The 25,804-nt window shown below is 32.2% G+C and overlaps 1 protein-coding gene across 10 annotated transcripts in view; it reads right to left on the bottom strand.

The window, feature by feature from the left end:
* LRRC7 (leucine rich repeat containing 7) overlaps window positions 1-25,804 on the bottom strand; it is a 576,443-nt gene that overhangs the window by 293,609 nt on the left and 257,030 nt on the right. For all 10 annotated transcript variants that reach the window (NM_001330635.3, NM_001366839.3, NM_001370785.2 and 7 more), the window contains 3 exons: window positions 24,930-25,008; window positions 15,887-15,976; window positions 12,473-12,529 (listed from right to left, as the gene is read on the bottom strand). In NM_001330635.3, the coding sequence (NP_001317564.1) occupies window positions 12,473-12,529; window positions 15,887-15,976; window positions 24,930-25,008 (226 nt within the window). The remainder of the gene's footprint in view (window positions 1-12,472; window positions 12,530-15,886; window positions 15,977-24,929; window positions 25,009-25,804) is intronic.

Genomic DNA, 25,804 nt, shown 5'->3' with positions numbered 1-25,804 from the left:
TCTACTACTCTTCAAAGTTTCTCTATATAGGAAATTGTGTCACCATATCCAATTAGTTAAACCCAAAATTTGGAAATGTGCCTTGGTTCCTACTTTTTCTTTTCACCACGCATTCTGTCCATCAGCAAGGACCTACTTCCAAAATGGGTCACAAATCTTCCCACTCATTGTCTCCATAACTGCAATCTCAGACAAAGTCATCAACATTACTCATCTTCACTATTGCAATCATCTCCTGATTGGTGTCCGTTTTTCAGTGTTGTCTCCCTAAAATCCCTTCTCTCTAGAGAAGTCAGACTGTTCATTGTAAAGCTAAGATCAAATCACATGTTTCCTTTGCTCGAAGTCTCCATGGCTTCACATTATGATCAGAATACAATCCTAATTTCCCAACATGGCTCACAAGGCAGTTCATAAATTTACCCCACTGTCCTTTCACATTCCTTCACCTTGCACTGGGCATGTTCAACTACTCTGGCCTTGTGCTTCTTAGACATCTCAAGCTTGCTGCCATCACAAGTTTTGTACACCTGATTTTCTTCTTTTTTTCTTTGGTTGTTATTTTTGCTTTTTCTCTTTCTTTACAACTTCATCATTCCTACCATTCAAATCTACATGCAAACCGGACCTGTTCATAAAGGTCTTTCTGGACCAGCCTAGAAAAAACAACGACAAAAAAACCAACCCCCACCCCAAATCACCCAACATCCCCATGAACCCTCAAAAACCCACCTCTCTCTATAACATCATCCTGTGTTCTTCATAGCAGTTACCAATCTTACTCATTTATTTGTTTATATTTTATTATCTGTCTCCTTCCACCACACTTGAAATTCATTGAACAGTGGAAAATTGTTAGATTCCTTGGCACTGAGAATAGTGTCTGACACCTATTAGGTACATGATCAATTAAAGTTATTTTTAACTGACTTGTTCACTATATAAAGTGAGAACTTATCAGTATGTCTTCAGAGGCACAAACTTGGGAGTCATATTTAGGGAATTAAGTAGGCAGTGGTAGGAGGAAAAGTTGGGGTCAGATTGTGAAGAGCCTGGAATGCCATGTTTTGGGGTTTAGATGTTATTGTATGAACAAAAGGAAGCCAAAGATTTTTCATTTTATATTCTCTCTAAAGTAAAGCTTTTAGGTATTAGATGTTCCTTTTATAAAACTAAAGTATATATATTAAAATACATATATTTTAAAATGTGTTTTATATTTTACAATGTATATCCATATAGATGGAAGTAATAATTTAAAAGATGCTCTTTAAGTTATATTTAGTATAAGAAATGCTGTTCCATTTTCTTCTGAAAATTCAGTGAAACATTTAAGCAAAATGAAGTTTTTGCTTTTTTTAGATGTATTTCAGTATAATCCAGAGCCAATAGATAGCCTTAATGACTTTTTACTATAATTAAAATACAAAATAATTCATTTATCTACAGTGCCACTGAACATTTCCTAAATAATGCTCCTACTTTTTAACCAATTCCTATAGTGTAAGATATTCTATCTCATCATTTTAGAATGAACATAAATGTAAACAGCTAATGCTTGATAAGATTCATAGCTTTGTAATCTAATTTTATTTCTAATCTTGCTCATAAAATTATAGTGCATTTATTTTATAACTAGAAAAGATTGCTGTTAAGTAGTAAATGTGAACAGGAGTCCTATTAAAGTTATGGGAAAAGGCTAAATTTAAAGCAAAAGGAATAGAAATGCAAAGTAGTTAGGTAAAGGTTTGGGGTATATGCAATATAAACAATATAAAACTAAACACAATGGAAAAATTAGTTTGGTAAGAAAATGATTTTTTTTAAAATCCATGAAAGGACAAACTATAACCTCATATTGCCAAAAGAAAATATAAAATATACATCTAAAGAAATTAATATCATGAAGTTAATTTCTTATGTGAATTTTTATTTTTAATATTGCTCAGCCACTTATCTTAAATGTCACAGAAACTGTGGCAAACTATAGCAATTTAGAAATATTCCCCCTTGCATCTGTTCGACAGAAAAGCGAGCTTTTTAAAGATGTATTTTGCATATTGAAAGACCTGAAATAACCCTGACTTGAGTAGAGAGGAGAGAGGAGACCTGAAGAAAGCAGAAAATCTATGGAGAGTTAGATACATTTCAGCGGATTTGGTGTGTCTTATTGAACCAACTATCAATAATGGGGTAGTTTGTTGTTTATGCATGAAGGGTCTTTTATAAAAGTAAAAATCAAAGCATAGGTGGTAGGGAAATCTTTCAAGATGCTATAATAAAATATATCTGATGAAATTCAGGGTTGTTTTTAATTTTTTTGTGCACCTACCAAAATATCATAGAAGAGAGCCTGGTGAAAATCAGTCCCTCAATACCTGTTATGTGTCCACTGCTGCGGAGACTGTGCCATTCCAAAATCTGCAGTTGGGTAGGGAAAGCACACTGCTCAGCAGTTGCTTACTTGACAGTTGAACCATGGAGTTACAGCTTCAGCTAATATATTCAAGATAACAAAAAAACCCTCACAGAATTAAGCTTATTATATTTCTGAGTAAAACTATAATTAGATCCAAATTCCCATGGAAACTTTGCCTTGCAAAAACTCAAGAAGAATTTCTAAGCTACCACTCAGAATGCAAAATCTATGGCTAATTTCATGGTGAAAGTGGTGGGAAAGTTAAGGGATAATTTGGAGTTTTTCAGACAGAAAAAGGGAATGTCTCAAGAAAGATGCTTCGAGATATAAAGGTGCATTGTATATTGGATGTAGCAGAAACCTCGTGAGATTGTGAAAGTGTTGGGAGGCAACGAAGCCAGAAATGTTGACTTCAAGCTATGACAATTCTTGACATTTTGTCTTCTGAAAGCTGTGAGCAGTCATTCTGCACTTTCAAATTGACATGTGCCTTGGTATGTTTTAATAAGAAAGCTCTGACAACAATAAGGAAGATGTATTCCAATGGTAGAGATGAGAAGGGGGAGGAATTGTTGAAGGCACAGGCAAGCGTTATTAAGAAACTCAAGTAGGGCAACAATGTGGGAGGGGAAGGATGCTCAGATGTGACATAAGTTGATGGCTAGTGATTTGGGGCTAGTAGGAGAGGAAAATGAGATGGATAGTTCTACTTTCTGTGATTCTGTGGGTAGTGCTGTCATTAGGCAGTGTATAATAAGAAACAGGATTTCTGTTTGATTTGGTTTAACCAAGTTTGGTTTTGTTATGCGGTGGTGGGTGGAAAAGAGCAAGGAGGATGATTTCCATGTTAACATGTGGTGAATATTCCATTTGATATTGGCTACTGGAATATGGAACTGGAATTCAGGTAAAAAGTTCAGGTTAGAAATAAATGTTTGCTGCTCATCAGCACAGAGGTAATACCTGAGACCACAGGAATATATCTGTTAACTAGGTTGTTTGTGTATTTTCTGGCCTGAGACACTGAGACAAAAGTCAGTATTAGTATAATGTTTCAGAACATTCATTTAGGAAAAATACTACATTTATTTAGAAACCATAAAGGATATAACAAAAATCCACAATAATGAATTTATAAGATACATGAAGATACAAACAATGGATGTATGCCTTTCCTAATCCTTGTGGAGTGTTAATTTCTATCACGTGTTTTAGTTGCTAAATTCAATATTTGCCTAAAGAAGCTACCAATTTTAAAAGCAAAAAGTCATTAAGAATTAATAACTAGATCATTTAGTTAAACATTTTCTATATTTTTTATTGAGAATGACAGAAAATTAGTTGTGTAAGTTTTCACTAGAGTACTGCTGGTGAAGTAAGAAAGGCACGTTAGCATCACACATTATTTTTAAGAATTTATTATAAAAAACTAAAAATAACATTATTTCATTTATGATAAAGATATTTTTATGAGATAAAATGAAAAATATCTAGAACTCATGTCAATCTTTTCTTGCACACACCCAGATTTTCTAAGTGCCAGTGTATACTAAATTTATTTAAAATTTTTCCTGGGTCTAAATGATAATAAGCCTTATTTTCATCAACTCTTACCCAAAATATATTTCCCAGCTTAAAAGAGGTAATGATATCCAGCACTCTTTACAAATAAGGACATTGAGATTCAAAGAAGGTAAATAACCCATAAACAAGCAACAAGGGCCTTTTGACTGCAAAGTACATTCCCACTCAAGTACTTTACAGCTCTTCTCAGCGAAACAGAAGTAAGAGTGTGAGCTAATTGTTCCACTAGAGACTAAGCCTCCGAGATCTTATAAAACTGAAGCTGAGTGCTTTCAGCCTCACTGTTACTGCAGGCAGTTTTTATCTTTTGGTAAACTAATCATCAGGGATCAGAGTAGCTATTGTTTGAAGTAGTCTGAAAAGAGCAATTTGAATACAATGGTGTTACTTGGTTTTTGTGACCTCTTCCAAGCTCTTCCCATTGTCGCCACAGCCTTAGCTAACCATAATATTATCATTCTTAATTTTGTGTTGAGAGTATAAGTTTAAAAATAAATACAATTCGTTCACAAGGCAGAACTCAGTGTTTTCTTTGTGAGTCTATGGAAAGCATATGTTTGATATTTTAGAAGTGACTCTAATAATCACTTTGTTATAATGCATTATAATTTATAGAATACTTTTAAATATAGAATGTCATAATTATCCACTTATTTCATTTGAATTGAAAATATAACACCAAGTGAGAAGAAGTAAAGAAAATATCTGTTTCTATGTATAATTCTCTAAAAGCAGAGGGCACTAATGTGGTTTCCCTTGGTTAGTTAGCTTGTCAAACTGAGGGTTTTGATAAAGATAATCCTGAAGAGGATGGTACCATGGGTTCAGCAAAAACACTGTACCTTGTAAATTGATATAAATTGGTAAAAGCGTAAGGTAATATGATTACACAATCACACAGTATCCAATTATGTATTACAGTTACAAAACAGAATTACAAATACAGAGTTAATAGAAACATCAAAAAGCCATTCTGTAAGCTGTCCTTGACAATGGAATTTTCATTACAATGGCACTAAGGAACCTATTGATGTATTTCATTAAAATAGCTAGTAGGGTAGCATAATGCCAAGTGAGATAAATTCATTAATAGAACACTGAAATGAGAATGGAAACATGACTTAGTCACACCTGTCCAGTTAAGAATACATATTAATCTATGAGCTTTCTTCATTATTTTGATAATAACTGGTAGTAAACTAGATAACAAAGGAAGGAAGGATTTTAAAAAAAGAAAACATAACAAATCTATTATATTTTAGATAAGTCTGTCTATGGAGTAATCTTATTAAAAAAGAATAAATGAACTTATATGAAAAATAAAACATAGTATTTGGAAATGAATAGTTTAGAAATTTGAGTGATAATTATAAATATGTAGCATTTATTGCCATTCAGGTTAGGAAAAAAACCACAGTGCATATATTAGTCACATACGGATAGAACCTTTACTTCTAAAATGCTGTTTTTTACACATATTTAAGCCTTTTATTTATTTATTTGAGAGAGGGTCTCACTTTGTTGCCCAGGCTTGAGTGCAGTGGCATGATCAGAGCTCACTGCAATCTCTACCTCCTTTGCTCAAGTGATCCTCCCACTTCAGCCTCCCTTGTAGCTGGGAATACAGGCACACACCACCAATCCTAGCTACTTTTTTAAAATTTTTGTAGAGACAGGGCCTCGCTCTGTTGCCTGGGCTGGTCTCAAACTCCTGGGCTCAAGTGATTCTCCCACCTTGGCCTCCCAAAGTGCTCGAACTATAGGCCTCATGGCCTTAGCATTTTAGTATGGAAGTGCAAATTCTTCTCTTAACCTATATATTGACAAATATTTCATACAGTTAATAATTTTATCTGTGTTGAAAGTGTTTTTATCTTTATTTTTAAGGAACTTATCTTTGAAAATATATTTCTAAAACACATGTTTATGTTCCCTTTGTTATACTGGAAAATGGTACAGCTCCTATGGAAAACAGTATGGTAAAATATAGTGAATGGTTTCCTAAAAAAATTTAAAATAGAACTACCATATGATCCAGCAATCCCACTTCTAAATATATATCCAAAGGAACTCACCCCGGGATCTTGAAGAGATGTCTGCACTCCCGTGTTCATTGCATCATTATTCACAGTAGCCAAGATATGGAATCAACTTAAATGTCCAACAACAGATGAATGAATAAAGACAATGTGGTATGTATGTATATAGCGGAATATTATTCCACGTTAGAAAAGAAGGAAATCCTGCCATATGTGAGAACATGGGTGAATCTGCTAAGTGGCATAGGCTAATCACAGAAGGACAAATACTGCACGTTCCACTTACACAAGGTATCTAAAATGGTCAGACTCACAGAAACAGCATCAAATGATGGCTGCCAGGGGCTGAGGGGAGGAGGGAATGGGGAGTTGTTCAATTGGTATAAAGTTTCAGTTATACAAGATGAACAAGTTGCAGACATCTGCTGTCCAACATTGTGCCTATGGCTAACAATACTGTACTGTATGCTTAAAAGTTTGTTAAGAGGGTAGATCTCATGTTAAGTAGTCTTACCACGATAAAAAAAATTAAAAAGGAAATTGAAGAACACAATAAAAAATAAAGTGACTTTTTTGTTGAAACAGTTATAAAATTACAAAAATGTTTAAAAACTAAAAATCATGTTTTTCTGAATTACTTGAGAGTAAACCGCTAATCTGGTGTCCCATCCTCCCAAATACTTCGGTATTTCCTACACACAAACATTCTACACGATCAAAATACAACCAACCAAATCAGGAAATTAATAGTGATATATTACTACCATCTAATCTTCAAACCCAAATTTTGTCAGTTGTCTCAAAAATGTCCTCTATAGCAAAAGAACCGGTTCAGAATGATATTTATTTTAGTCTCTTTAGTCTTCTTGAATCTGTAATAGTCCCTTAGTCTTTTTTGACTTTCATGATCTAATATCTTTCCTTAACAGTGTGCAGCTGTCGGTGTAGCTCTGGCTTTAATTTACATATATAATTTAAAGTGAATCTTTTTGGAAGAGTATGTCCAGTTAAGTTTTAATGTATTGGCATCTTCTGTGAGTATATTTATGTTGTGTACATGTCCTTGGGTATTCACAAAGGTGGTACTACAGAGTTTCTGAACCTTTGTTTTCAGGGGCAAAATCACTTAATAAAAGCAATGATGCCCAAGGGATAAAATCATATAAATAATAGATACACCATTTACGAGATATCTAGCATATATAGTTTAGTAGTTTAAAAGTATCATTTATGCTTGTACTTCGGAAAATTTTTCTCTTAAATAATTCCTTAATAATTTCTACTATGGGAAATTAAAAAACTTCACAGATGATAATGAAATCTAATCCTATTAACAACCCGAAATAAAATTTACTCAATAAAATATTCTCTTCTTAAAAAAATCTTCTTCAATGAACATACTAGAAATGGTTATATGACTAAAATTATCCATTTGACAAATTTGATTCCTAAAATCGGGAGGTCCCTCTTTTTGATGCTCTATACTAGGTTTTTTTTTTGTTGTTGTTTTTTGCTTTGTTTTGAGATGGAGTCTCACTCTGTTGCTCAGGCTGGAGTTCAGTGGCATGATCTCTGCAACCTCTGCCTCCCAGGTTCAAGCGATTCAGTTGCCTCAGCCTCCTGAGTAGCTGGGGTTACAGGTGTATGCCACCATGCCTAGCTACTTTTTGTATTTTCAGTAGAGACGGGATTTCACCATGTTTGCCAGGCTGGTCTCAAACTCCTGACCTCAAGTGATTGGCCTGCCTTGGTCTCCCAAAGTGCTGGGATTACAGATGTGAGCCACTGCTCCTGGCCAATACTAGGTATTTTGATGTGGCTTATTTTACATAAAAGGCAAAATAGTCTACTTCTAGGTGAAAATAAGAACATGTATATTCACAATAGGTTATTCATATACTGAAAATAGATACAACTTGCGTTTTAGAATTAATACTTTTCTATATTCCATAGCTCTTTTCAGATTCTCAGAAGGGTCACTGACCCAAAAGATACTGTCATTACTTCAGATTTATCTTTCCACTTAGAACTTCTTCCAACAACTCTTAGCATTCTTCATCTACCAAATCCATCCACTTTCCCAATTTTGAATATGTTCATCAGGTTTTACTGTATTTACTGATATTACCCCAGTAATTCTGTTGGAATATATTTGAAACATTCCTCTCTTAGTCAGTGTATATGACAGCAAAGTGAGGTATCATGTTTCATGCCTTGTGCATCAGGAGACATGAATATTCATGTTACCTTAATTTATGTTTCTTTTTCTTCATATTACTTCATAGTTTCGTAATTAACACATGCATTTACATAATATATTTTAACTCTAGTTGAAACAAAGTTAGTCTTGGCCTTGATAAATTATTAATGAATGAGGCCTTATTTTAACTTGACGGTATTAGAAAAATTCTTCTCACACACATGGAACAGTTTTATTTAAAGTTAAAACCCACCATTATTACCAACCATTTATATGATGTTATGTTACTTCTGTGGAAAAAATTTCTAAATTTCATTTAAAAAATTGTTTTTATCCCTTCATTTTTATCTTGACATATATTTTGTTTCTTGATGAAATGTGACACATTTTAATAAAAAGCAGTTATACTATTTTTGTATTTTATTTAGTTGTTATAAATATTAATTATATGAAGTTATTTTTCTCCCTGTCATGTCTTAACTATTATGCCTAACTTGAAACCATCTAGAGAGAGAGAAAATGTGTGTAGGTTTATAAAATCCAAGTCTGGGCTATCAGCTATTGAGAAAGCTCAATCATTTGTCCTTGTCTGACTTCATGCTGCTCTCCAAGACTAATCTGATTATAATGTTTGGCTTCCCATATAATTTTCTGTGGAGAAAAATAATCAAGTGATGCAAAATGTCAAGGTCACATGACAGATACTTGTCATTGTGAATCCATAGCTCAGCATTCTGGTTTGGAATGTCTACCATGTTTAAGGCACTGGAGAGTCCGCAGTGACCAATTGGAAATAATCTTTCATTAATGGCACTCATACTGTCTTGAGGAGATAATCTCCAAGTAAACAAAGAGTCAAAATCATATAGAGAGCGGTAAGTGCTATGATGAAAATCAAACACAATAATGAAATGGTATAAAGAAGAAGGGAGACTATTTTATATTGTGTGCATCGGCCTTCTGCATCTGATGCATTTGGTATATGTCAGCATTGAATTTCTAGACCAGCAATGCTGAGAACCAGACCTGTGGTAGGAACCTCTACAATGGACTCCATTAATCCCTGTCTCCTGGTATTTATAGTCTTAACGTTGTTTTCTTCCATACTTTGGAAGAAATGGTCCAGATTTGGTCTCTGTGATCAATAGCATATGGTAGACATCATAGTACATCACTTCTGAGTTTAGATTATAAGAAGACCAAGGCTTCTGTCTTAGATGCACACTCTCTCTCTCAAATCACTTGCTCAGAAGGAAGCGAGCAGCCACATTGAGAGTAGCCCTATAGAGAAGCACACTTGAGCTTCTATAGGAAAAGAATGGAAAGCTTCCAGTCTATCACCAGTGAGAAACCCATTTGCCAACCACCATTTGAGTGAGATTTGAGGCAAACCCTAGCCCATTCAAGCCTCATGAGACACGCTGAGACAGCATCACCGAGAATCTAGCTTCTCTTTAATTCCTAACCCTGAGATACTCTTACACAAACAAATGAAGTAAGGAATAAATAAGCAAACAAATAAGCAAACAAAGGCTTGGTTTTCCCTTGACATCTAACATTCATTTGAATTCTCTCTACCATCTACACATTTTCTGACTATCCCTCAAAAAACACAATTAGGAAGATAATTCTTGTGTAAGGAAAAACTGTATCACATAATCTAACATTTTTTCCTTTTGGCAATCTAGTTATTTACAGAAGTTCACTGTATTCTATTATTACAAATAATCAAGACTTGACTATTTCAATGAGTTTTAGGCAAATGTGTATCCAAAGGACTTAGTTTTATTACTCCTTGATGTATGTAGAGGAATGATCATAAACATTATAAGGAAACTTATAATACTAATTTGTTTTTGTAACTGAAAAAAATTATCCTAGAATTTGCATACATCTAAGAGTCTCCATCAGTTTGCTTAAAGGATGTACATCTTCATGTATGTTATATTATGATTCTTGCACACAATCACATTTTGCACAGATTGCTAAGCATATAAACTTAAAAGATGAAAAGAAGAGAAAATAACTAACAATGCAACATCTTGTTTGTATCCCTAAGGAAATCATGAGTTATCTCTTCTCAGAATAGTTATTGTTAAACTAAAATTGTTTTTCCTAAAACTATGTTTTCACCTTTATTTTTATTGGGAGTGCAAAATAAAGGATACTATAATGCTCTCGTGTAGCTTTAAGTTACATGAGGTATAGACTGGTGATCAAAAGGTATAATACATAGTGAAAACAAAGTTTATTTTTATTCAAAGAAGAATTTCTTTCTGCAATTCTCATTCTATAGACCCAAAACTAAAGTTATCTATATTTTATGCCTGAATTTGGTTCTTTAGATTTTGGCCTGTGAGTTATAAAATGAACACACTAGATTGCAAGTAACTTTGAAAATGTTTCTTAAAGTGTAAAAGCTGTAACAGCTATATAAGTTATATGTGTATGAGTCTATCAAAGAGACCCAACATCAGTTCTAATATATCTTTACAACATTTTTCTATGTCCAAATTGGTTTATGCATATTATTCTACTTAATTTAATTCTGTTTAATACTGGGCCACAATCTCAAAGCCTGCACAATACCCCAGCACCAATTATTGTTGTTATTATTGTTTCTCATTACTCTGATTTATTCACACAGCTATTTCATATAAAGTCCATATTATCAATCTATATCAGGTTTTAATTTATATTTAAAATTCATATTTAAAGATATATATTTGAAAACCTAACAACCTATGTCAGGTTTATTTTGTACTTCAAATGAAAGCCATTATTTGAGAACAGAGGGAAAATGATTCTCCTCTGCATACTCAATATTTTTTCCTTGACCTAAATGTATATATTTAGGTGAAGGGGACAACTGCTTTTCTATCTTGGTTTAGCTTCCAGTTAGCCATGTTTCCACTTACTTTAAATGTGGCAGACAAAAGCATCAGGGATGGACTCAGTGGCACTAGCTGCATTTGCAGGAAATTTCCACTTGAATGATTAACACCCTCAACCATATTTCAACCTGTTTATGCCCCCAACCTGGGAGGGGTTCCTTGGGTTAGGCCCATACCCAATGCTTTAGCTTAGAGAAAGGCATAATTCAAAAGTGCAGGATGGTGAAATATGCAGACATTTCCTCATTTCTATGCTCTCTCCTTGTCTTCTCTTATGGAGGATTAAGGAGGTGTTTTATCTTTATGTATATATTCAAATTAAATCCATATCATTATTGAAAGTTATTTTCATAATTGTGGCATTATATTGCAATGACAATTTTAATACACAATATCATACATAAAATGCACTTGAAGGTATGTTGTTGAAATATTAGTCAATCCAGTTTGCTTAGGAAAAGGATTTAATAAGTAAAAAATAAGGTTACATTTTGGTTCAGCAGATGAATCTAAGTCCTACTGAAATGTTTAAAAAATTATTCACTGTACTCAATATTTTTCTATAATACTGCAGAAGGGTGATAATAGCAACATAGTACTTTAAATATTTTCATCATAACATATACAAGTTATACTGATTTAATTGAGTAAAAAACCCATTTTGACTTTCAAAAATAATTAACTGTAAAACATAAAATTCTATTGTTACACATGAATAAGGCAAAGCTGGGTGAAACAAAGCATTTTATTATGGTAAACATTGCATAAAATTTTAAGGATTAGTTTTTACTTTAAAATATATCCTATATTTTTATGTAAGCCAAATTTTAAATAGACTAGTAAAAATGAACAATTTGCAAGAATATATAACTTCTACCTAAACCACTTTACGATCTCTTGAAAAATTTTAATCTTTTTTCCTAAAAATTTCTGGCATATTCTTGATGTAAAAACTGAAAGATACACTACAATCCATAAATTAACTTGAAGAATTAAGCATCCTATTAGGTTGAACCTTGTGACACTATTGTTTTTAGCTATAAGAAGGACAATTTCATATGTTTTAGTGCAATACTTTTCTGGCATGTATCTTCAGCCATGAGAAGAAACTTAAGTGAACTCTTTCCACCTTTACCTGTAATTACAGTTTTATAAAACAGAATACATTCTCATGTAATATGAATCTTTTACAGTATACCATACTTTTTGGCCTTTAGGAAAAATGTGTAGATAAATTAACTCAAAGTGCCAAAACACAGACAAAATAAAAGTAGTTATTTCTCTTACTAGTGAAAAAAATCACAGTTCAAAATTCAGAAAATACACAGTCACTTACTTTGGTAGAGTTTTCAAGTGATTTTCTCTTAACTCCAAGATCCGCAATTTGACAAGTCTACAGAAATGAATTTTAAAAATTTCCTCTTAGTATGTCTGTCTAAAAAATTATTGAATAAGATCTAGTATTTGGTAGCACTATAGGGTTACTATGGTTAACAATAATGTATATTTAAAAATAACTAAAAAAGTAGAATTGGAATATTTCTAACACAAAGAAATGATAAAAGCTTGAAGTGATGGATACCCCAATTGCCCTAATTTGATCATTACACATTGTATGTCTGTACTAAAATATCACACATACCTCATAAATATATACAACTATATGTACCCATAATAATTAAAAATTAAAATAAAAATAAATTTTACTATGGTAAACTATCATTATCACTATTCAAACAGCTATGTCCAAATTTTTTTTTACTATTGTTATAGATTTTAAAGAAATATATATATTGATTATGAGTAGGGTTACATCAATACTGGGCAATGACAAATATCATTTTCCTAAAATTAACTGAGATATTTTAAAGATATCTTTGGATTCCAGCCTTCTAAATTTCATATGTTTTATAAAGGTATATTTGTTGTTTAATTTTATCCATTCAATAGATAATTGAATGTATACTAAATACCAGATGCTGTGTTCACTGGAATATGGCAATAATTTCTCTCAAGAGATTATAAATAAACTAAAAAGCAAATACTATAGCATAGAGTTAAAAAAATGGGACTTTGTAGGAAGACAAACCTGGATGAAATCCAAACTCTTTCATATTCTGCCTCTCTGACACTGGGCAAATTACTTAACCTCTCTTAATTCAATTTCCTTACCCATAAATCTGTGACAGCAGTATCAGATTTATATGGTTTGGAACATTAGATAATGTAATACATGTAAAGCATAATTTCTGGTATATCACAAGTTTTAATAAGAATTGGCTATTATTATTTTCATTATTTACACAATGGGAGAAGTGCTGCAATATACCATATTTCATTGACTCTAAGGCGCATATTTTAACATTTATGAAAATGTTATGCATGTAAAAATCTGTCACATCATCTGTCCCATGACAATGCTGGGGTTGGGGAAATCATGTGAAAAGAATGAGAGGTATTCAGAGTTTCTTTTGCTTGAGTAACATTTGTGATTAGGAATGCATTTCACACTTAGTTACTTGTTAAGTTTTGCAGTCTAGGACACACTATTGTTATTCCTGTCCATATAGAACATTAAAATGTACTCAGATGAAGCTACTTTAGAACAGATATTAATTGGATTCTCTGAATCATTAATGTTTGGGGAAATATTTTACCATTTGAAGTTTTTCATCTACATCTCCCATATTTACTGTATTTTTAGGTTTTCATGTAGATCTCTTTCCTTTCTTTTTTTTTTGCCTCCTATCAAGCTTTTTATTTAATTTTAATCTTATAATGATTAATCTGTATATGAAATAAAGTGATTCAGTTCTTCACGGCATGGGTATATTGCTAGTAAAGGAGATTTCTTAAACATTTGCATGTCTCAAATCTTCTCAACAATTGTACTAGTATAATATTTTGTACTGATTTTGGCTTTTAGGAGTACAGAATCTCAGGTTTTAAAAGGAATTTCAAGTGTCCTCTTGTTAAACTATCCAGTTGATGGTTAAAGACATTTTCAGATTATAATAATAAAATAGAGCATATTTTTTGTAGGCAATTTATGCAAAATTAAATTCTATTTTCAAGTGGTTTTGGTATTGGTATTATGTTTTTCACTTGCCCAAATCTTTTTCTCACATTAGGACTACTTAAAGAGAACTTAAAAATTCAAGAAAAAAATGTATCTTAAGATAATAATTAAACATTTTCTGATTTGATAAATCCAAAGTATGTTGTAAGGCTGTGGTCAGTACCAGAAAGGCAAGGCTAGTTTCTGTGGATGAATGATGAAATGCCAATTCATTCAGAAGCCAAACAGTGCTCTTTGGATGCTCTGTGAATTTTAAAACTGCTCAAGTATATGCTGTTCATAAGTGTAGTGATGTCGTGATCTGCAAAAGTAAGGGAATCTGGGAAAGGTTGATGTGCTCTCAGTATGTAAATGGAGGCTGTCACATGTTAAGTGACTTCATTATTCAACTGAGTTCTTAATGTCCTGTGCGAGCTTCAGTCAACAGATTGGTGTCAAGCTATACTTAGTCTATTATTTGAACAATTTCAAAGACTATCATTTACATAAATTCAGTTGACAGTAAACTTAAAAATGTCCTAGTTATTGAGATATATCTTTTGCACAAAAAAGTTCATTGTAGAACACCTGAAAAATATTGAAAAACATGTCAAGATGACAAGAAAAATTATTCATAATTTTACTTCTAAGATACAGTCTTTTATTTCTTACAGAGTCATATTCATATTGGAAACATCTTAAGAATTTTAAAAAATACTTCCCTAAGATAATATTATTATTATATAGTGCTATCATATAGATGAACCATAATATATTTAACCAATATCCTAGACAGATGTGTGATTCCACTTTTTTCACATTGTAAATAACAATAAACTTGTCCATAAATCCTAGTGGGATATCTGACAATGGCAATAGACATTTCTAGAAATGATTCACAAAGGCAATGGTTGTTAAATATTTTCAAAGGTTTTAAAAGCATACTGCCCTGCATGAAGGTCATAACATTCTGCAGTCCTATCAGAGAGCATGAGATCATCTCTGTTCTTATACTCTAAAAAATTTTTTTGCAATATGTTGGAACATAACAGTCTTTTATTGTTTTAACTTGTATTATGTTTATTATTTGTGAAGACAGACTTTTTTTATGTGTTCCCCAGCCATTTATGTGTTATTATGAATTGCTTTTTCCTTGTAATTTGACCATTTTTCTCTAAAATCTTTGTTTTCATATTTATATGTAAGAATTCTATGTTAAATATATAAATAATTTGTTTTTCATATATAATGAAACTATTTTTTCAGTTGATTGTTTTACCTTAAATCTTTGATTTTCTGATACTTTATGTTAAAAGTATTTAGGTCATCATATGTATTGTATCCATTTATGATATTTTTCTTTGCTTCTATGCCTATAAAGGTATTTCTCAACAAAAGAGCCATAAATATTCATCTCCTTTTTTTCCCTCAGATAATTTCTGGCTTTATTTTTTTTTATATCCAACTCTTTAATTCATCTAGAATTTATTTGACTATTAATGTCATGTAAAGGCCTAATTTTACTTTATATTTTTGCAAAAGTTTCATTAATTAACAGCGTTTCATTTATTGAATAATAATGAGGCCTATCTTTAATCACAACTGACACTTTTGAAGTCTCATCAACTGGCACTGGTAAAGCACTTACCTAAGGTGAGATATAATTGCATAATTTAAATTTCTTATTCTTACCTTCCAAAATTGGCTGGAAGAAATTCAAGAAAGGCGTCATTCAGGTAGAGCTGGGTCAGGTTTAGGAGCTGTGTGAAGCCATCAGGTAGTCTAAAAAGGAGTTAAAGTTTTAGTCACTGCATTGATGTTGCTATAGAAACAGAACAAAAAAAATATGTATCTCTGAGGAGAAAAAATAGAAATGTAATACATTTTTCAACTCTCCTTTGGTATTACAGTAATGAAAGAATTTATTGAGCATGTTGTTACAGTTCGAAAATTTTGCCTGTTATTAAAGTAAATAGCATTTATCCACTTCCATGCTACTCTCCTATACTAAGATTTATGTCACTGCTAAAATCAGCAACATCATCTCTTATTGCTGGCCTAACCTTATGCACGCTAGCCAGGACATTTTTCATGGAAATCTCAAGTTGTTTGGCTTGTTTGTAATTTTAAAACTAATGTTCCTTTTTCAACAGAATATTCACATATATAGTCAGGCAAGAGCATCCAGTTACTATTTCACTTAATCATCAAAATTTGTCTACAATTTGTTACAGCGATGACTAAAGTTGCCCAGTATGAAAAGTGAAGGAGTATGTTGTCCCCTTAACTAATAATTTCTTTAATGTCTGCTCAACATGTATGTAAATCATGATTCAAATTGGTCTAATTCATATTTATTAAAAATGACAAAGAACATTGAAAAGATAATTAGACAATCATAAAGGCTATAAACTGCATCAAAAAATTAAGAAAATAACCTTTGGGGAGTTTTAGAAATTAGATGAAATAATTATTTTAAATGTAAAAAGATTTAACTCAAGGATTTCTCAGGAGACATATTCAGAGGAATATTAATTTTTTTATTAGTAAATTTCTATTTAAACATTTTAATGCCTTTATGTATAGTCTAGTCCAGATTATGTTATTTTATAAAATACTCCTAAATAGTCTTCAAATTTGCCTTCTCCTCAAATTACAGCCTATCTTCCTCCTTGCATTTACTTGTTTAAAAATCTGCCTATACTCATTGCTTTTGATTACTACTCAAGTCATTGTTTTCTGGCATCTACCTCAATTCTGTTACTGAAAATGCACTCACCAAGGCCTCCACTGACCTCCTAAGTTCCAATCCCATTAGCCTCATTTTATTTCGGATCCTACGCTGCCTAGCAACAGTTGCCATCACTGCTTGTTCTCTCCTTCTTTGCTTCTACTACAATTTTCCTGCTTCTCTTCCTTCTCCTGGGACATTATATCTGCGTTTTATTCCATGGTTTATCTTCCTATGTCCAATACTTTCTTGTATGTATATATAAAACACTTATATATATACATATAATATTTGCATTTGTATGTATGTATGTGTGTGTACGTACATATACGTATAAAAGAATATATGTGTACCCACAACAGAATGAAGAAATAGAATCAGTATCTTTGAAACCTTCTGGGTGTCCCTCCCTGTCTACATCTTCCTATTTGCCCCACAAATTCCTGAATCATGTTTACTACTCTGTTTTGAAACAGCTTTACTACAAATATTTAATTCCCTAAAACAAAACATGTTGTATGGTTTTGCATGGTTTTGAACATTATATAAATCAAATCACACTGTGTACATTTCCCCAAGGCTTAAAAAAATTAGTATTAGATTTAAAAAATCCATCCATTTTGACGTGACTGATTGGCCATCATAGCATAGTATTCCACTGTATGAATAAACAATTTAACATTTTCCTTCTAATGAACATTACAGTCGTTTCTTCTTTTTTTTTTGAAATAGAGTTTCACTCTTGTCTCCCAGGCTAGAGTGCAATGGTGCAATCTCGGCTCACTGCAACCTCCGCCTCCCAGGTTACAGTGATTCTCCTGCTCCAGCCTCCTGAGTAGATGGGATCACAGGCACCTGCCACCACGCCCTGCTAATTTTTGTATTTTTAGTTGAGACAGGGTTTCGCCATGTTGGCCAGGCTGGTCTCAAACTCCTGACCTCAGGTGATCCACCCACCTCGGCCTCCCAAAGTGCTGGGATTACAGGCATGAGCCACCGTGCCTGACCTACAGTTGTTTCTAGTTTTTCATTTTGCTATTATAAATATTGGCTTCTGTGAATAATTTTGAACATACAGTATACATTTACAAAATATTACTTAAGTTATATCCTTAGAAGTGACATCATTGGTCATAGGGAATGCAAGTCTATGTTTACTAGATGTAGCCAAATTTCATTCAAAATAGTTCCACCATTTTTCCATGTCCTTCCTAACCCTCGGTTTTGTTAGTTTTTTCATTTTTGCCAATTTGGTAAATATAAAATAGTAATAATCATCATTTCGCTGATTAGTTAGGAATAAAAGTTTATTAGCAAGATTTGTTTCCTTTTCTGTGAAATACATGTTTACTTATTTTACCTATTTTTCTACTGGTGCCCCAACCAGAGAACTCCCTGCCTTTATAATTTTGTTGTACACTGGAACAAATCATGATTGCCTGCCCCTTTCCTTCCTGTCTGAAGGTTTTCTTCAGCTGCTAAAGCCTGGTCTGTTCATGCACCTGGTAGCCCAAGTTCCATGGAATTAATGTCCCTCTCAGAGACAGTACTCAACTAATGACAAGTAGGAATATAAATACCTCTGCTCCCTCTCCCATTGTGTTTGATAACCCTGGTATGTGTTTTACACTGTTACCCAGAGTTCCCCAGAAAGTTAAAGTCCAATGGCCAAATACTGTAAACAGCTTGAAAAAACACTCTCAACAAGTATTTCCTGGGCTTATCTCCCAAATACACTGCTGTATTCTTTTCTAAACGTCTGCTTCTGGGGAATCTAAAACAAACACATTTATATTTTCATACTGATTTATGGCAATTCTTTATACATTCTTAGTAATAAGTCCTCAATGTCATTGATAGGTTCTTTGAAACTGCAAATTTAAGTGAAACTATGTATAACAGAACAATTTTTTATCTTCTCTACAACATTATAATGAAATAATGTTGAAGGAAACAACATTATTTGAAGACCTGCTGTATGTCCTTTCACTTAAAGTTACAGTTTCCAACAACCTATCAATGGCATTAAGTGAAGACTTACTGTATATTATTCTGATATTGGTTATTTTCACTGTAAATATATTGTTCTAGTTTGTATTTTGGAGTTGAATTCTGTGGATATGATTTCATAGAGGATGTTGCCATAAATTTGCTTTTAAGAGACATAGGATTTATGGAAGTAGAAAAGAAAGAGAAGGGAGGCAAGTGAAAAATGAGGGTTTTTATAATGTAGAGGTAAGAAAACACTTGAGATGTGTAACAAAGAGAAGATGAGTTCTGCAGCAAATACTTTATGTATGAGAGTATCCAGAGTTAATATTTAAGAATATCAGGAGAGGGCAGGGTTTACAGTCCTTGAATACTCAACTCAAAGGTTTGAACTTGATCTTATAGAAATGAAAGTCTATGGTAGGTCATTAATTTTCTCTGTGTTTTACTTTGTTGTAATGCATTAGAGCTCATGTCCTGATAGTATGACAGTTGTTATGAGAATGGCACAGATGTTAAATACATTTCAATTGGAATTTAACTATTATCTTTGATGTCTTGTAATTCAAAACAACTACTTACATATGACTTTTCAAAAAAGATGATCAATATGATACATGTAAAATTAGACGAATGTTAAAACCATTAATCTAATAATTTATTTTAACAGTGTCACTGTTAAATTAAAATACTAATTTTCTATTGGTAGGGACAGATATTTTTCCTATATATCAAAACTATGCAGCTTCTCTCAGTCTACTATTCTCCATATGTATGTAATAAATGATATTGTACTACTTCTTTGATCAAAAATATACTTCTTTTTTGCTTCTTCTTTGGTAATGCTTATGCCCTAGAAGAATCTGGCTTATTACATAGAACATTTTGTTTCAGAGTTTAAGAATTGACCACATTTTTTCAGGTTCCAGTGACAAAACTGGACCAGCAAAAATAGGTTATATGAAAAACCAGCATGCAAAGTAAGTCAGTTTTTATCAGGCTGGTTATAAAAAAAGATGTATTGACATTTTCTATTGAACTTTTCTTCTTAAAAATGTGGAGTTAAGAATACGATTACATAGTATGTCTTATTTAACGACATCTATGTTTTATTTCAACTCACTTCAACGTGAATTTTTTATTGAATGGTTACTCTGCACTTAGATTCAAAATTAATGTCTTCTTTATTTTCCTCATAGGATTCTGTTCATAGATTTAGTTGAATGTTTATACAATAATACTTTGTACTAGTATTGGAAATTTTCTATTCCTGGGAAAAATTATAAATTATTTGGGGATAAGGAATTTTTAAAATCTCTTAAACTGTCCATTATTGTACTTTGAAAATAACATAGAATGAAAAATGGATTCGATGTTATTTGAAAAATCATATATATACAGTCAGTGAGTCTGCCAGAAAAGATATTCAAAGATATTCAAAGAATTTATAATTCAAACTAGGACATTTGTGAGAGTTAAAAAGGCAGCTATTAGTAAATATGCCAAATCAAGAATAGTAAACAGAGATGATTTGGGCAAACAGAGACACTTGGTCACTCTACTTATAACTTTCATATCCACCCCATAGATGTACTGTAATTTACTAGTAATTTCTTCACTGCTGAGCATTAAGAATGTTTTAAATTTTTGAGAATGTATCCTACAGCAAATAAAAATACCTTATCAGATATGGTGAAATACAGTGAAAGAAACTTAGGAATTTAAATACTGGCTTCATGCATTTCTCTCTATAAAAAGGTAATAATATTTATCTACATAATGAGGTTTCTGTAAAATTTAAATTAAATAATGTATCTAAAAGTTTAAGACATAGGTTCTCAATAAATGTTAGTTCTTGCTTTTCCCATTGAGGAGTTATTTATCATTAATTTTATGGTACATTTTGTAGTTTCTAATAGAGAAAAGGGCCTGACTTGTCAATATAATTACTTCCAGAAAAATGTATGAGGAACTGTGAGGAAGAAAATATTCCATAGCAAGCTGGATACACTTGATGAAGATGACAATCATAAGTTGCCTTTACTTTCCTGCAAAGTATTCAATGAAATCTAATCTTTGACATTAAGTAAGGAACTCTCAATAATGAAATGATTTTACTATCCTAAAATAACTTGGTGGCTTTTCACATGTAATTGATTTATTTAAAAATTCAAAGAATATATATGTTTTATAAATTAGCAAATAATTCATTCTGCTAAGTAAATACTTTAATTGCTTATATTAAAAGTGGTATGTACAAATACACAGTTACATAGAACAAATGAGATATGGTGTTTGATAGATCAGTAGGGTTACTCTAGTTAACATTAATTAATTTTACATTTCAAAATAGTCAGAAGAGAATTAGAATGTCCCTAGTGTAAAGAAAAGATAAATATTTAAAGTGATGGATATCCCAATTATCCTGATTTGATTACATGAATGTATCAAATTATCACATGTGCCCACCCAAAATGTACATCTATATATATCAGTTAAAAAACTACAACAAAGATAGAATAACAATAGACCCAGACACTCATATAGTTTAGCAGTTGAGCACATGTATTGATATCAGAAGACTTTGCTTATAATCACAGGTCTTCAAATTATTTTCATGTGACCTTTGCAATTACTTAAATTTGAAATAGTTGATTTCCTTATTTGTAAGATGATAATACTAATATCTGCTGCTCAGATTTGCTCTAATGATTGAATGACTACCTATCCCATAGTAAGAATCAGCAAATCAAAGAAATTTTAATACTTTTATTTAGTAAGAATTTTATTTTGATGTTTCAATAAACATTAAATAGAATACTATTTTAAATACTTTCATAATTGCTAATTTTTACTATTGGAATAGGCAAATTAAGATCAGTTTCAGTCACCCTTATTTCAACATTTTTTTCTTTTCTAATTGCATTTACTCTAGAAGTTTGATGAAAACATATTACAAGCATCTGACCTCTAATAGAACAGTTAAACCATATAAAATTCTAAGTTTTATATGTTGTGAATAAGAACACAACGTAGAAGTTTCTATTCTAGCTGGAAAGGCATTTTACATCAAAACATCTTCATTTATGCAGCTTAAAATTATAAAACGAACATCATAATGTTAGAGAACATTTGGAAAATAAAGATAAAAGTGTAACTCATAATTTTACCTCCTTAGCACAACCATGATTATCATTTCATTTATTTCTTTCTAATCTATTAATTGTTTTAACAACACTGCAAACTTATATCATTATTTCTCCCTTTAATGTATAAAGCAATACAGATTATAAATAAATACATGGAAAGGTGCTAATTAGACATTAGAAATATAAATTAAAGCCATAATTGAAATACCATTTCTACTACACTGGCTAAAATGGAAAAAAATAAAAAACTGATGGAACCAAATTCTGGCAAAGATGAAGAACAACTGAACTCTGAACACCTGAACTGGTGTAACACACATTTGAATAGCTTTGGGAAAGTGATTTGGAAGTTTCTTATCAGGTTAAACATATACATACCATACGACTCAGAAAACTACTCCTAGGGGTTCACTCAATAGAAATGAAAATATATGCTCACACAAACACTTGTGCATAGTTTGTACCAGCTTTACTCATAATAGCCAAAAACTGGAAACAACCCAAATGCCTATCAACTGAGGTACAGATAAACAAATAATGTTATAGCCATACAATGGAATACTACCTGGGAATAAAGGGGAATGAAGTACTGATTATTGAAAAATTACAAATAAATTTCAAAATCATTATGTTAAGTAAAAGAAGTCAGACACAAAAGTATGATATCATTTATTTGTCATTTTGAAAAAGACAAAGCAATGGGGATAGTAATCGTCAGTGGATGACTGGGCTAAGGGAATTCTTTGAGATGATGCAATAGTCTATATCTTGACTATGGAGATGGTCACATGACTGTATACATTTGTTAAAATTCATTGAACCATACACCTAAATAGAATTAATCTTATTTTTTTGAGACAGGGTCTCACTCTGTTGCCCAGGATGGAGTGCAGGGGCATGATCATGGTTCACTGCAGCGTTGTCCTCCCAGGCTAAAGTGATTCTCCCACCTTAGTCTCTCAAGCAGCTAGGACTACAGGCACACACCACCACACCAGGCCAATTTTTTGCATACTTTATAGAGACAGGGTTTCACCATGTTGCCAGGGCCAATCTTAAACTCATGCGATCCTCCTGCTTTGGCCTAAGTGTTGGGATCACAGGTGTGAGCAACCATGCCTGGCCAGAGTAAATTTTATTGTATAGAAATAACATATTTAAAAACATGACTTTAAAATTTGATAAACAATTTATGTTGACTTTTCATAATTTTTATGAATTTCAAAACTGTTTAATGTTTACAGTGTTATGCATTTTTGCTGAAATAGGTCATATTTATTTATCTTTTAAAAAGTTATACATATGAAGGGAATTAGACATATCCAATAAAACCATAGACTTGAAATTTCTCAAAGATGTAATTTCTAATCTGGCTGCCACTCCCAAAGACCTACCATGATTCCTAAATAAGACGAGCTACTAGAATTAAATAATTAGGAGGAAAAAAGCAATTTATCAACAGCACTGGATTGTTTTGACTCAAGTCAAGGACATGACTGTAGTCCTGGTGGGAGAAATTAGTAACATCTATTTCACTGAGATGTTGAAAAAATTGCATTTTGGTCTACGAGTTTTGGGAAAAGCTTTTTAGAGTTTTATTTTCTCTTTTTTTTCCCTCCCTATTTACTTTTCAGGAAGAAAAACTGTAATTTTTAAACACATTTTGTTGCTTGATGTTTTACATTTCCTACAAAAGGCCTCAGATTATTTCACAAACCATTCACTATAAAGATCTCCATCTAAACTTCGATCTCATTCTTTTACATCTATTTCACTCCTCACCTTGTCTAGAGCCTCTTCCCATCATCCATAGAGAACCACTTTCACTACTCCCTCTCCTCAACTCTACTGGTATAAAATTTCCCATCAACTTCCCTTTGACAAATTTATTTATGTCTTCTTCTAAAAATACTCCATCCATTAAATGTCTTTCCAATGGGCTTCGGTTTCCCCTAGCCTCCTACACTTCATCAGACAAAAGATCGAGGAATTTTTCTCAAATCCTACTGTCAGCTTTGTATAATTAAAATGCCAGTCTTACTCTGAAGCTCATTTTTTGCAGCCCAATACAACTGACTTATTTCAACCTCTTCTAAATATTACAACTGTCAGGAGCCTCTCTAGATTTTATTTCTACTTCCATTATTAAGTGACTTTAACATTCAGGTTCATGACTCCTCCAATCAATTTATTTTATTGCTTCCTGACCTACTTGATTCCACAGACTTCTGTCACTACTCCATATGCTCAATTTACCAACATGGTCACTTGCTGGGTATCATTTTTCTATGGCATTTCTTAATGAACAGATCTTGGACTACAAATACCCATTTTCTGATCACAGCATCTCTATTATCCATATCTTCCATTCTCCTATTCTCCTAGGGTTATCTCTTTGTTCTTGCTGCAATCTCTGGTATACAAGTACTTTCTATTTCTGGTCATACTTAATTCCCTTGATCTACATGATAGGTTATTTTTATGCACTTGTCAATACCTTAAACTCTTGCAGTATCTTGAACTTCTGGCAGTCCTTGATGCTAGTTTTCCACCATGACCATTACTAATAACTGTTTTATTAGTTTCAACTCTTATCTATGGAGTGTTACCTGAGAGCTGTGGAAAATGGTGACAAAGTTTGTTTCAAAGTCATACCATCTTTTGCCAATTGGGTCTTCCTTGCTACTCAGCAATGTTTTTAATCATCTTTTGTCAAACTATTCTGATTAATTTTTCCCATCATTCTATTAAATGCTATGTCAATGCTACATTTAAATTTAAATTATGATGTGCATTTCCTCTATTTAGGTACATTATTATACAATGGAAATATAAATACAAATAAAATTTAATCACTCATACTCACTTAGAAATGGGATTGACACTGGCTTCAATAATTGTTAAACACTTACAGCACTTTATGTTTTCTGGAAATTCTTGTACACCTAAAATGTGAAAAAAACAAAGTACATGAAAATGTTCCAACAAATATTCTTTAAACTATAGTTCTAATATTTAGATAATTATTAAAACTATGAGTCAGTACATGATGTAAACACCATTTAGGATAAGCATTTAAGTAGAAATAAAAACTTAATAACATATCAATATTATTAATCATATATACATAATTTTTAATAAAGGTTGAATGTTAAATAATATTTTATAATAAAAGTTTAAAATTGGATGTAAAATTGAGGACAATTGTGTATTTGGCCTAAGATAAATCTTTGATCTTTGGTAACCTAAAGAAATAAAAATAGCTTAAGTTATTAAGTTATAGTGCTGCTACTGAGAGAAGGGAGAACAAGTAGATGTAAAGAAAACAGAAGATAAAATCTTTACTTCCAATAATCATTTTATAAGGTTAGGAAGGTTGAACTTATACATGTGAAAAATACTTAGGAATACACCCAAAACTGATAGATATTCCCAAACTAATATGGGGCTCTGCTAAATTTTATACAATTCTTTTTTGTTGGCTGTACAGAGTGTAGCTCTGCATCTGCCTGAAAGTGTGAAGAGACAAGCAGTTTTCCTTGGGTCCTCCCTGGAGTCTCTGAGGTAGCCAGCCTGGCTGATTGCCCTTGGAGAATTGCTCATCTGCTGTCACAGCTGTGCTACTGGCTGTGTGACAGAAAAACACAGATTTTTCTATGAAACTGAAAATGCAAAAGCTGAAACCTAATCCATAAATGTGAGGGTCAGAGGAATAAAAGATGTGGGGGACATTTCAATCAA

This window comes from Homo sapiens, chromosome 1 (assembly GCF_000001405.40).
Source record: "Homo sapiens chromosome 1, GRCh38.p14 Primary Assembly".
Classification (NCBI taxonomy): Eukaryota; Metazoa; Chordata; class Mammalia; order Primates; family Hominidae; genus Homo; species Homo sapiens.
This window is presented reverse-complemented; position numbering and strand designations above follow the sequence as displayed.